General features: G+C 43.3%; 1 protein-coding gene across 2 annotated transcripts in view, besides 1 other annotated feature; it reads right to left on the reverse strand.

Moving 5' to 3' along the window:
• MYO10 (myosin X) overlaps positions 1–14,574 on the reverse strand; it is a 274,382-nt gene that overhangs the window by 154,865 nt on the left and 104,943 nt on the right. For both annotated transcript variants that reach the window (XM_006714475.4, NM_012334.3), the window contains exon 3: positions 1,238–1,396. In XM_006714475.4, coding sequence (XP_006714538.1) covers positions 1,238–1,396 — 159 coding nt within the window. The remainder of the gene's footprint in view (positions 1–1,237; positions 1,397–14,574) is intronic.
• Positions 12,813–13,733: an enhancer, noted in NCBI's record as "H3K27ac-H3K4me1 hESC enhancer chr5:16829693-16830613 (GRCh37/hg19 assembly coordinates)". NCBI's record gives its function as "activates a minimal SCP1, AML or CMV promoter by ChIP-STARR-seq in naive H9 embryonic stem cells {active_cell/tissue: H9 hESC(naive)}" and the evidence as "EXISTENCE:reporter gene assay evidence [ECO:0000049][PMID:30033119]".

Below are 14,574 nucleotides of genomic sequence, written 5' to 3' on the forward strand. Positions count from 1 at the left end.
CCCGTCTCAGCCTCCCAAAGTGCTGGGATTACAGGCGTGAGCCACCGCACCTGGCCTTTTTTTTCTGAGACAGAGTTTCGCTCTGTCACCCAGGCCGGAGTGCAGTGGCGCGATCTTGGCTCACTGCAACCTCTGCCTCCCGGGTTCAAGCAATTCTCCTGCCTCAGCCTCCTGAGTAGCCGGGATTACAGGCATGTGCCACCATGCCCAGCTAGTTTTTGTATTTTTAGTAGAGATGGGATTTCACCATGTTCGTCAGGCTTGTCTCAAACTCCAGACCTCGTGATCCGCCCACCTCGGCCTCACAAAGTGCTGGGATTACAGGTGTGAGCCACAGCACCTGGCAAAGGCTAATTTATTATTAATCATAATCACAAACATATTGGCAAAGAAATGTAACTCCTAAAGAATAAAAATGACTAAAAGATCAAGAGTTTTTAAAGTATTATAATTTTGGCTTAAAAACTATATAAATTTGAGCTGGACAAGAGAAATAAACATACATAACCAGTTGCCTTTAGTTTCCTATAAAGACTTGCAAACAGGCAGATGGAAAAGGGGAGAAAATCTGCAGGTCAACTGATCTTGACAGATAATGCAGTATCTGTACTTTCACGTCAAAAATTTATAACAAGTGATTCTTAAATATCACTTTATAATACAGGTATAGTCACATTTCATAGAAGTTGAGAGAAAAATGTGCATGACCACTTTTTATGTATTTCTCCATTCAAAATAGCAAACAGGAATCCCACAACTTAGAAAGATGGGTTCCCTTGAATGCAAGTTATCACCCTAGGGTGGGCTTCAGAGCCAGAAAAATGACTGAAAATCCACAGAAAGAGAAAAATCCAGAAAAGACAGCTTAAGCTCAAGTACTCATGTCCACAAGTCAACATTTTCCCTCGGTCAGTCTACAACTCCATGACTTCTTTCCGTGGCAGAACACTTAGAAACTGAACACAACACAGCGTATTCACAAGCAGCAAGGTCAAACTACCTCGATGTGCAGAAGGCCCTTCCACAGAAAGTAAATCCCCACTAATAAAACCTAGGCAATAAACTCTAGGAAAACATGATTTTTGACCCAAGTTTCTAATGTGGCAAATCCCTTGAAAACATAATTTTACTTAGATTAACAAGAATTCTCAAAAGGCAAGAAATACTCTCTGAAAACAAAAATAAGCATTCACTCAAACGTGAGGATCTTTTTAAAGGAATTACAAGTGGAACTTACATATATTTGATTTCTCTTATACCGCTGGAATAAGTTATACATGATGGAGCCGCCATGGAGCTCTGTCAAGGACGCCATGTCATCCACGCCCTCCTCGTTCGTGGGGTGCATAGCAGTCACCTTCTGGTGGGTAATTGTGCTCTGCTTGTAAGTGAATACCTGAGGGAGGGAGAGGAATTCAATTATTTCATTATCAGCAGTAAGTGATTTTTCACACAAGTTTCCCAAACTGACAATACAATCTCAGTATAATTTCAGGAAAAAGATTCTAAATTGGACAATCAAAAATATATCGCAAAAATCTCTTTCATTTTATGTCACCTATCTCTCTCTCTCTCTCTGTGTGTGTATGTATGTGTGTGTGTGTGTGTGCGTGTGTGTGTGTGTGTGTGTGTGTGTGTGTATATATATATATATACACATATCTTTGTTGTTGTTGTTGTTTTGAGGCATGATTTCACTCTGTTACTCAGGCTGGAGTGCAGTGGCATGATTACAGCTCACCGCAGCCTCCACCTCTGAGACTCAAGTGATCCTCCCACCTCAGCCTCCCGAGCTGGGACTACAGGCATGTGCCACCAGCCAGCTAATTTTTGCATTTTTTTTTTTTTTAGATACAGGGTTTTGTCATGTTGCCCAGGCTGGTCTCAAACCCCTGGGCTCAAGCAATCCACCTGTCTTGGCCCCCCAGAAGTGCTGGGATTACAGGCATGAGCCACAGAGCCCAGCTGTCACCTATATATTTCTAAAAGAAGCAATTATTTTGACCATTGCTATTAGATGTTCCTAAAAGATATTAGTTCAAGTATGAACCATCTTTTGGGAATCACAGAAATTATAAACTTATAGTTCACTTCTCTGCATTATTTCTCCATTTGATATAAATCAGTAACAATTAAGAAACTTTCTAAGTTTTAGAAAGTAATTTGGTTTCCCTATATAATGTTTCATATTGAATCACATAATTTCAAAGCTTTATAATAGTTATTCCATTTAATTATTAATTTAAGTACTTTAAATATGGTATACGTTCATATTGATTAAATAGTCTATATATCTTTTCAAAGACTGGAACGCATCATCACAGGAATGTTTAGAAAATCTCCTTGGACAATATTCCCTTTCAACCAGGATATATAGCATTTGTGTACTCTCTCGGCAGAACAAATGCATTCTGATTTAAAATAAAATTGGTTTTTTTGTTTGCTCAAGAACCTATCTTCTTTAAAATTCCAAAAACAGCAATGAGCGCTACAGACATGTTATAGCATGTACATAAGGTGACTCTGGTACCGTCAGATTGCTGAATTTGCATGGATTTCTAATGTCTACTCAGTGCTCTTCGTCCTAAGTGATTTGGTTCAGGATTAACCACATCACATTAAGCTCCATCTGTTGACCAAAGCTTGACCAGCTTTACAAACTCAAGCAATAACAAAATCATTTGATTGCGGAGTTCCACTCTGTATTTACTCATTTACTAGAGTTGGTAGTTTTTAAATACTTGGATTACAATCCTCCTTTAAGTAAAATAAAAACATCAAGAGATTTAAAAAAAAAAGGATGTTAAATAACATGAAAAGTGCTCAGCCTTCAGACACGCACAAACTGGCATGTGCATGTGTGCACACAAAACAATTTTCTGCAATCATATGTGTGGAATGTTTTTATTGGAGAGGCTATTTTTAGATACTGACTGGCTGCCTACATGGCAACAAATGGTATGTTATTGCAAAGGAGAATGACACACTAAGAAATGCAAAAGTACCAATCCAATGGTTTTTTTTCATGAGCCATGACAAATGGCATGTTTCATTTTTCTAGAGAAAAATTACAACTTCAGCAGTAGCATTTCTGCCACATGAACCACTAGAGTTGGTCAAGCCAGTCCTGAGAAACTGCTCGAGGCCAAGATAGGGACCCACCCGTCTCTTATGAAGAAAAGCCACTGTCCCCAGCTGCTTCCTGGGCTCAGACATCCACCAGGAGAGGAGACAGTCCTAGTGGCCCCATCTCATGGTAAGGTGGCCAACCCTGCCACATGAGCCCCACAGGGCTGGCAGAGGCCTGGGGCCACCTAGGGAGCAGGGTAGAAGTGCTTCGCACCCAGAAGGCACAAGGACATTCAAGAGTGAAGAAACATGTAGACCCTTCATTTTAAGTCATCAACACCATGGAAGAAAGTTAAGAAACAGAAACTTAGGCCAGAGTCAAAGCAGCCTTGGGGCAACCTAGAAATTCCCAGAAGTTAAATAGCTAGAATGCCCTGCCTTCCCCTAGCACGCCACATCCCCATGATGCCAATCCAGGCACATTTTCAGAAGAGCTACAACCAGACAGGTACTTGCGTCTTCCAAAGAAAAGTGCCGACCAGGGTGGGGCAGAAACAGAACTTGCCTGCTGGTCAACTCTCGGCCAACCAAGTAGTATAAAGTAGGGCCCATGCCACCTGCCAGCTCCCGGCACACACCTGAGGTCTCATCTCACTCTGCTGACTCAAGGCTCCTGCCAGCGCAACTCGAGTTCCCTTCCCAAATTTTCTTCTAAGCAAGAAGACAGGGCACTGAAGCCAGCACAACTATCTCCCTCTCCAGCCCCTGCAAACTCACCAACAGCAAGTCCTTCTCAACGTGAAAACAAACAGCTTCTACTAACTGTCACTCTAGGTATACTGAGAAATCCAGATTTTGAAGATTTAGAATATTATAATTTTTACTTGTATTTATAGATACATATTCTGCTTTCTGGAAATAATCATACATAATACTTAAGACACTACAAAACACAGACACTAATTATATTTTACATATATGTAATATACACATACTTATTACATATAATGTGTATGGTATATATTTCACACATATAAAACATCTTATATGTAATACATATATCTTATATGTATTTTACATATATAAAACATCTTATATATTATATATTATACATCTATACATATAAAACATCTTATATATATTATATAAGATCTTATATCTTAAGATACCTTATATCCTAATATATTATGTAAGATGTTTATATACATATATGTATAATATATAATATATAAGATGTTTTATATACATATAATGTATAATATATAATATATAAAATGTTTTGTATATGTATGTATATGTATGTATAAAATATCTATATAAGGTATATATATAAAATGACTTAATGTTTACATCCTATGTAATTATCTTGCTGTTCCTGGTGCATCAAAAAAGACAATGAAATGTGTACATCCTATGTGTACCTCCTATGTGTACATCCTATGTACACATTTCATTGTCTTTTTTGATGCACCAGGAATAGCAAAATCATGTATAGCCCAAGTGAACAGTTCAGAGCTGGAAACCATCACTGAAAAATAGGGCTATAACCTGTAAACTAGAGTTCCCCACCTTCATACATTTGACTTCCTTTCCTCCTATTTTCTTTTTTTTTTTTTTTTTTTTTTTTTTTTTTTTTTTTTTTTTGAGACGGAGTCTCGCTCTGTCACCCAGGCTGGAGTGCAGTGGCGCGATCTTGGCTCACTGCAACCTCCACCTCCCAGGTTTATGCCATTCTCCTGCATCAGCCTCCCGAGTAGCTGGGACTACAGGCGCCCACCACCACGCCCAGCTAATTTTTTGTATTTTTAGCAGAGATGGGGTTTCACTGTGTTAGCCAGGATGGTCTTGATCTCCTGACCTCGTGATCCACCTGCCTCGGCCTCCCAAAGTGCTGGGATTACAGGCGTGAGCCACCGCGCCCGGCCCCTTTCCTCCTATTTTCAGGAGCACATTACGCATGCCCATTCCAGGGGTGGAAAAATCAAGAGAACTAGAACCATTCCTTCTCAGGACCACAGGAAGACAGAATCATGACGGGAGACAATCGCTACATGAATAAAACAGAAGGCTAGGAAGAGGGGGAAAAAAAAAAGCATTATTTCAAGATACAGGATTGCAGCTGCTCAAAACAATGTGTATTTCAAAAAAAAAAAAGAATAGTAGAGAAAAATGTATTTGTGGAGGAAAAGCAAGGATAAACCATCCATTCAGAGGTGGGCTCCAGTTGGTAAAGACCTTAGAACATTGTCTGGCATTCAGAAGGTGCTAAATAAGGATCAGATACATTTAGAAATTTGGGGAGAGCATCAGGAAGAATAGCTAATGGATGCTGGGCTTAAGACCTAGGTGATGGGATGGCGTGTGCGGCAAGCCACCACGGCACACGTTTACCTACGTGACAAACTAAACTTAAAATAAAAGTTGGAAAAAAAAAACGAGTCAAGCAAATAATTCCTATGAGGAAAAAATTTTAGAAATTTAGAAAATCACTCATTCAAGCAAATTTTTAAACATTGTTTGGCTGGTGTGTTCTAGGCACTGGGGATCGAGCTTACATTCCAATTCAAGGGAAGAAAATAAAAAACAAATATACAAGTGAATAGACAGTATCGCAGGTGGTGATGGAGTCTATGAAACGTAATGAAGGTCAGGGTGGACTAAGGAGTACCTGGGGGTTATAATTACATCAGGTATTCAGGGGCAGCCTGATGGATTAATATTAAAGGAGAAACCCTAAGGAGGTGAGAAACAGAACCAGCGCCCTGCGTTCTAGTATCTTAATACATTATTGGGTGAGTGAACACCTGATTTAATTTGGAAATATTTTTTTTTCTTTTTTATTTATTTTTATTTTTTTTTTTTTTTGAGACGGAGTCTCCCTCTGTCGCCCAGGCTGGAGTGCAGTGGCACAATCTCGGCTCACCGCAAGCTCCGCCTCCCAGGTTCAGGCCATTCTCCTGCCTCAGCCTCCCGCGTAGCTGGGACTACAGGCGCCCGCAACCACGCCCGGCTAATTTTTTGTATTTTTAGTAGAGACGGGGTTTCACTGTGTTAGCCAGGACGGTCTCGATCTCCTGACCTCGTGATCCGCCCGCCTCGGCCTCCCAAAGTGCTGGGATTACAGGCGTGAGCCACCGCACCCGGCCTAATTTGGAAAGATTTCAAAGGATTAAAGAGACCCACAATCTTACTGAAGAATTTCTTAAGAGAGATTCTTGAACTATCAAAAGTCACCTCTATGTGCAACAATTAGCAGGGTATTAGTCGTGCAAGGTATACAGCAGGAAAGAAAACTCTAAGTTTAAAGAATGGCATTACTGGCTGGGCTCAGTAGCTCACGCCTGTAATCCCAGCACTTTGGGAGGCTGAGGCAGTCAGCAGATCACTTGAGGCCAGGAGTTCAAGACCAGCCTGGCCAACGTGGTGAAATCCCGTCACTACTAAAAACACAAAAATTAGCCAGGCATGGTGGCACGTGACGGTAATCCCAGCTAATCAAGAGGCTGAGGCATGAGAATCACTTGAACCCGGGGGGCAGATGTTGTAGTGAGCCGAGATGGCACCACTGCACTCCAGTCTGGATGACAGGGCAAGACTCCATCTTGCGCGGGGGGGGGGGGAGTGGGGATTTTTTTTTTTTTTTTTTTGTGAGACAGAGTCTCACTCTGTCGCCCAGGCTAGAGTGCAGTGGCACAATCTCGGCTCACTGCAAACTCCGCCTCCAGGGTTCATGCCATTCTCCTGCCTCAGCCTCCCGAGTAGCTGGGACTACAGGCGCCCGCCACCACGCCCAGCTCATTTTTTTTGTATTTTTAGTAGAGACAGGTTTCACCGTGTTAGCCAGGATGGTCTCGAACTCCTGACCTCGTGATCTGCCCGCCTTGGCCTCCCAAAATGTTGGGATTACAGGCGTGAGCCACTGCGCCTGGCTGGGGGCGGGGGGCGGGGGGCGGTTATTTTTATGGAACTTTTCCTGAAGGAAACAAGGGCCACAATACTGTAACAAGATGTTTTTCTAAAAATCACAAGTTGGAATAAACTGAGTTACTTTAATGGAGCATAAACTATGGAAAAGGAGGGAAGGAATGAGCAAAACATGGAGGATTAACAGACAAGAAATCCACTTGGATAAAATGATACCTGAGAACAAACTGTTCTGTTCTAGAAGTACAAACCGCTGGTAACATGGTGAACTGGATTGGCGTGGGGGCAGAACAAAGGAAACTGATCAATACGACTGAAAACATAACTTGGAGAAGGGGCTTATACACAGATTTCTTTTATTACAAGTCATTAGGAGCCCCCAGTCTTAAAACCTAACTTTTCCAACTGAAGGGAAATTAAAATGAAAAAATAAAAACCCTAATCGCTAGATGACATACAGAGTATTCTCAAGCACAGCATCTTCCTCTCACACTAGCTTGGCTTTTCTCCTAGAGTAGAGGTTCTCAATCTCCTTCCCGCCCCCGCCACTGCTGGGGACACTCGACAACACCTGGAAAGATTTTTGGTTGTTAGAATTTGGGGGAGAGGAGAAGGGTGCTACCTGGCATTAAATGGGCACAGACCAGGAATGCTGCCAAACATCAAAGTGATACCCAATACTACCCAAAATGACAATAGTACGGTCTAGAAATGTCCTGAGATGCCAAACAACCAGATGTCTACCCAGACACTAAGTAAAAATGATGACAATAAGCCAATGCCTGTAAGTAAAACTTTTCATAAATCATAAAAACATCTTTCAGCCGGGCGCGGTGGCTCACGCTTGTAATCCCAGCACTTTGGGAGGTCAAGGCAGGCGAATCACGAGGTCAAGAGATTGAGACCAACTTGGCCAACATGGTGAAACCCTGTCTCTACTAAAAATACAAAAATTAGCTGGGCGTGGTGGCACGCACCTGTAGTCCCAGCTACTCAGGAGGCTGAGGCAGGAGAATCGCTTGAACCCGGGAGGCGGAGGTTGCAGTGAGCCAAGATCACACCACTACACACCAGACTGGGCAACAGAGCAAGACTCTGTCTCAAAGAAACAAAACAAAACAAAACAAAAAAACTTTCAAAAACAATCGAAGAAATAAAAACACTGAACAGAGGTAAATCAAAATCAGCATGACAATATTATGTCATATTATATTCATTCGTTTTTATTTGACCCAAGTTAAGGAGGAGGAGGAGGATTTCTAGGAATTGGAGACTGTTTACATTTTTGAGATTTTCTAATTGTACTGCATTAATTATGGTCAAACAATATGGTCCACACTATCTCTGTTTCTGAGAATATTCCTTTGCTCCTTCCTGGCCCTGGATCTTGCACCTCTTCCCATGTCTGGGCAACTGTCTTCCTGCTACTCTCCTCCTTGGGGTCTCAGCTCAAATGCTATCCTCTCGGAAGACACCAGTGGTCTTGCCCAGAGGCACCCCTGCCACTCTCTTCCTTATTCTATCACGTGTGTGTCCTCATTGCTCCTTATGACACATTATAATCACTTATCCATTATCTTGTTTAAAAGCCATCACACGCCCACCCTGGAACCTCTTGGTCAGGATCTTTCACACTCTTCTGACCACGACCCACAGTGAGAAATGTTTTTCCCTGTGAACTACTGTAGTTTAACAAAAGTTTCCTAACACAACACTCAGCATCACAACGTTTGATGCCTCCCTATATTTTATATCCTATTTCATTTCTTTTAAATGCCAGCTATGACCCTCTCAGTTGACTTCACGTTTCACTACTCTGAGGCAGGAACCCAGCCCATCTTGTCCCCAGTGCCCAGCCCTGGCAGACTCAACAAATACTGAAGGAATGGTCCTGGCCCTCAAAATGGGTATTATACATACAGAAAGGCAGAGTGGACAGCCGGATGCAGTGGCATATGCCGGTAATCCCAGCTATTCAGGAGGCTGAGGCATGAGAATTACTTGAGCCCAGGAGGCGGACATTGCAATTTGCTGAGATCACGTCATTGCACTCCAGCCTGGACAAGACAGCGAGACCCTGTCTCAAAAAACAAAACCAGGCCGGGCACGGTGGCTCATGCCTGTAATTCCAGCACTTTCGGAAGCCAAGGTGGGCAGATCAAGGTGGCAGGTCAGGAGATCGAGACCAGCCTGGTCAACACGGTGAAACCCTGTCTCTACTAAAAATACAATAATTAGCCGGGCATGGTGGTGGGTGCCTGTAATCCCAGCTATTTGGGAGGCAGAGGCAAAAGAATCGCTTGAACCCGGGAGGCGGAGGTTACAGTGAGCCAAGACTGCACCACTGCACTCCAGCCTGGGTGATATAGAATGAGACTCAGTCTCGAAAAACAAAACATAGTAATAAAAAAAAAAACACAACAAAAAAGAGTGGAATAAGAGGCAAACATGGCCTTAGAATCATTTCTAGCTGGATTGACCTCTCCTAGATCTATGCTACCTATAACTTAAGGACAACAAACAAGATTTTCATTTCTCTGGCCCAGTATTTTCTCCGTCTGTAAAATAAGGATGATGATCAGAGACAACTCATAGAATTACCATAAAAACTAAGGAAAATAATCTAGGTAAAAGTCACAGTGACTGGCATACAACAAGAACACAATAAAAGGTAGCAATTCCTATCAGGGGAACAGAATACAAAGAACAACACAGAGCATTCTATGAGGAAAAAGCAAGAGTCTCAGGGAGTGCGGCAGGAGGAGCCCAGGCTCTGAAGATGAGAGAGAACACACTCTCCGGAACAGCTCCTGTGCGGGAGGAAGGAGCGGGCAAAGGGAGGCTGCGTGTGCGTTCTCCATGTTTTATGACAACCTTGCCTGTAAGCTCTCTGATGAAAATCTATTTGTCATAACACTCTCTTCTCCTATTTTAATCCCTTTGCACGAAGTTGGCTGGCCTCGTTTAGATTTTTCCTGGAATTCCACGTTGTTTCTGGGGATGTCGCTCTTATTTTCCTCCTTTCGTGTATTGGCTCTTTAATTCATGAATCAAAGTAGTGATCAATAACAAAGGTTGTTAAGATATCTGCCTCCTGACATATGGCTGAAATTAGCAATCATGTAAACAAAAACGAGCTTATGTTCAGCTTCACTGACCCTGTGCTTTCAATGACTGGTGTATGCGTGCTTAAGCTCCATGATTATTTTGTACTGAGTAATTTATACTTTTATGGCGTTCCTTTGCAACCAAGAAGAGTCTAAGAAGAAAACAATCCACCTAACTGCAAATCTGCCTTTTCCTATTGTTTTTGCTGCTTCCTCACAAGACTGGAGAAATTATTTGGGGGCAAGAAAACGTCAAGTCCCCTAGAGAATTTCATTGGAATCTAATCAAAAGGAAATTCACACAGGTCTACTCTGCTAGCGTGCGGAGGAAAAAATAGCAATACTGCCCTGTTTTCAGCTCAAACTTGTCAGAGATTTGGCACTCTAGTTACTATAGCCTAGGGGTTAACATTATCTTTTTTTGTTTTTTTGGAGACGGAGTCTCACTGTCACCCAGGCTGGAATGCAGTGGCACAGTCTCGACTCACTGCAACCTCCTCCGCCTCCTGGGTTCAAGCAATTCTCCTGGCTCAGCCTCCCGGATAGCTGGAATTACAGGCAAGCACCACCAAGCCTGGCTAATTTTTGTATTTTTAGTAGAGATGCGGTTTCACCATGATGGCCAGGCTGGTCTCGAACTCCCGTACTCAAGTGATCCGCCCACCCTGGCTTCCCAAAGTGTTGGGATTACAGGCGTGAGCCACTGCGCCCAGCCAATGTTATCTTTATATACGTAACTCTTCTGCTACTTTGTTAGATAACTATGAAGTATAGATAACACAAAGATTGTTAGTTTCTTTTTCAAAGACTCAAACTAGTTTGTGAAATTAAGTCCTTTAAACTGTCATCAGGTTTTCAATGCCCAGTGTATCCTTTAGGTGCCAAAACAAAATAAGAGGGCCAAGCAGAGGGAACGGGTTTATTAAGTGCCAGCTGCATGCATCAGACATTGCTAATGTTACCTCATTTGATCCTCAGATGGGGAGGTAATACTGATGCTCATTTTTAAAAGGATGAATTCACAGAGGATCAGAGAAGTCAGGAAACTTCCCCAACAGCACACAGCACAGGGAGAGTTCAATTTCTTGGTATCATGGGGAAGCATGCGTGGTAGAGTCAGACCTTAGAGGGCCACGTGTTCAGAGATGGCCTTTTGAATTCCAGCTCCGCCACTTCCTTACTGGCTATGAGTCCCTGGGCACATTCCTCACCCTGAATTGATGTTCGAATGTATACGGTAAAGGCATTAGTATCTCCGCGGCAGAGATGCTGAGGCTTAGATTGGTGAGGGCAGCACACAGCTCACCCCTGCCTGGCCCACTGCTGGTGCTACTGTCCCCTTAGCCCTCCACTTTGCTTGAGTTGCTCCTCTTTTAAATTGACAAAGAGAACGTGGTGTGATTACATCATGAAGATGAAGGCAAAGAGATCGCTGAGGGTGGATGCCCTGGGAATGGAGTCAAAAGCAAAGAAGGTATAATCCCAGCACTTTGGGAAGACGAGGTCAGCATTTTGGATCACCTGAGGTCAGGAGTTCAAGACCAGCTTGGCCAACATGGTGAAACCACCACCCCCCGTCTCTACTAAAAATAACAAAAGTTAGCAGGGCACAGTGTCACATGCCTGTAATCCCAGTTACTTGGGAGGCTGAGGCAGGGGAATCACTTAAACCGAGGAGGTGCAGGTTGCAGTGAGCTGAGATTGCGCCACTGCACTCCAGCCTGGATGACAGAGAGAGACTCTGTCTCCAAAAAAAAAAAAAAAAAAGCAAAGAATCCCAGTGACCCTTCAAAGGAGAGGGCAGGGTAGAGAGGAGGAAGGACAAGCTGATTTTGCATCACTTTCCTGGTACACTAAGTTTGTTTTGTTTTGTTTTGTTTTGAGACAGGGTCTCACTCTGTCACCCAGGCTGGAGTGAACTACAGCCTGGAACTCCCGGGCTCAAGCAGTCCTCCCGCCTCAGCCTACAGAGTTAACTGGGACTACAGGTGCACACCACCATGCCCAGCCCCAGTGTACTAGGTTTAATCTCACTCATTTATTCCATTACTTTTCATTTATTTACTCTCTTTTAAGTTTCCTCAATCACTCATGGTGGCCTGTTAGCTGGACCCTGGGGATACAATGATTAATTAAACAGCCCCTCCCTGCGAAGAGTTTACAGTCCACTGAGGGTTCTGAAAAATAGGCAATCCTGACAGTGCAGTAGGGGCTGTTATGGTAGAAATGCCCAGGGCACAATAGAGATGATCCATGTGGGACAGGTAATGGCCAGGAGGGACACAGATGCAAGGGTGATGTGGCACGGGGCATCTGTGGTTGAGCGTGGCTGCAGCAGGGGCTGACTTGGGAAGGGCCCCCTGTGCCCTGGGTGCTGCCTGGCTTCTGACCTGAAGGACATGAAAGGCACATAAGTGGTTAGGGAGGGCACAGAATCTTCTCTACCTGCTCATCATCATGGGCAACACTAACATCAAACACAGCACCGAGACTTTCTAGAGACAAGAGATAAAGAATAAATCTCACTGCAAGATGCAATTCAACAGAAACTCCACAGGAAAGCAATCTTCTGAATCCTCTTGAGGAGCAATCGCCACAAACACTGCTGTTCCCAAAATGGAAGGTTTCTTCCTGCCGTCATGTACACAAATCGCGCACCCCCAAAAGTATCAGGGATGGTGCACACAACATCATAAAGCTGCTGGCAGACCAGTCACTGAGCGGTAAATACTAACCATCCAGCTCAAACCTTTCTGACAGCGCCGCAGGGCTGCAGGCAGGCTAACAGGATAAGTCAAGAAGTCTGAAACATCCAGGGGCTAGTGTGCCAGCAGCACATCTGCCAGTGGAGATGCCACACAACAAGCAGTGCAGACGCAACGAACACACTTTCACAGTAACTACTCAGCAACCAGAAAGGCCTCGGTGATACCCAGGCCCTGAGCACTCTTGGTAACTTAAGAGGAAAAAGTTAAATGCCACACAAAGTTAGCTCAGTTGGAAGGAACGGCTAATACACACACACACACACGCACACGCACACGCACACAAGAATATACTAGGATAGTTGTACATTAAGGAAAACCAGCCAGGTGCGGTGGCTCACACCTCTCATCCCAGCACTTTGAGAGGCCGAGGCAGGCGGACCACGTGAGGTGAGGAGTTCGGGACCAGCCTGGCCAACGTGGTGAAACCCCTACTAAAAATCACAAAAATTAGCCGGGCGTCATGGTGCGCGCCTTTAGTCCCAGCTACTTGGGAGGCTGAGGTTGACGAATTACTTGAACCCAGGAGGCAGAGGTTGCAGTGAGCTGAGATTGTGCCACTGCACTCCAGCCTGGGCGACAGAGGGAGACTCCATCTCAAAAAAAAAAAGGGAAAACCAGACCTCAAATTTGTATTTATATGTAAGGTCAGGAACTGTGATTTTATAGACTCAGGTACAGATTTCCTTTAAATCCTCAACTACAGTACTTTGTTTATTCACAAAAGAAAACTTTCTGTATAATTTTTAAGGGACATCTACTGCACAAAGAAAAGCATCCTTGTTGTTTTCGTTATGCTAAGATGTGTAATTAGAACGCTTTCTTGTTGCTTATACCCACTATGCAGGCCAAGTCTATCAAGAAAAAAAAAAAGATGTTCAAACTCTTCGAGCCAGTCTTTCCACATTTAGGAATTTAGTGTGCAGAAAACAATCACTGTATAAAAATGGTTTTTTCATTGTGGAGTTATACTAAAATGAATTTGTAATAAAATTCTACTATGCATATATGTAGTATAATCCTAACGTTATTTTTTTAATAGGCACACACACACACACACACACAGGGCGACTGTACTCTTGGGCCTTCATTCTAAAAACTTACATTTGCAAAAAAACTTGCACACAAATATTTATAGCACATTTACAATAGGCAAAAGCTGAAAAAGCCAATTCCTGGTTACATGCTATGTGATTCTATTCATAGAATATTCTTGAAATGACAAAATTACAGAGGATGAAGAACAGACTGGTGGTTGCCAGAGGCTAAGGAGGGAACTGGGCAGGAGGGTAATGAGGATGGCTGTGAAGGGCAACAGGAGGGTCCTGTGCTGATGGAAATGATCTGTATCCACTGCGTCAATGTCAATATCCTGGCTGGGATGTTACGCTCTGGTTTTGCAAGATGTCACTGAGGGAAGCTGAGTAAAGGAGACATGGGACCAAAAGATGATACACAAATGGCCAAGAAACATATGAAAACATGTTCAACACCCCTAATGATCAGGAAATGCAAATCAAAACCACCATGTGACACCACCTTACTCCTGCAGGAACGGCCACAGTCAAAAAATTAAAAAAGAATCAATGTTGTCATGGATGCGGTGAACAGGGAACACTTCTACACTGCTGGTGGGAATGCAAACAAGTACAACCACCATGGAAAACGGTGTGGAGATTCCTTAAAGAACTAAAAGTAGAACTACCATT

This window comes from Homo sapiens, chromosome 5 (genome assembly GCF_000001405.40).
Source record: "Homo sapiens chromosome 5, GRCh38.p14 Primary Assembly".
NCBI classification, from domain to species: Eukaryota; Metazoa; Chordata; class Mammalia; order Primates; family Hominidae; genus Homo; species Homo sapiens.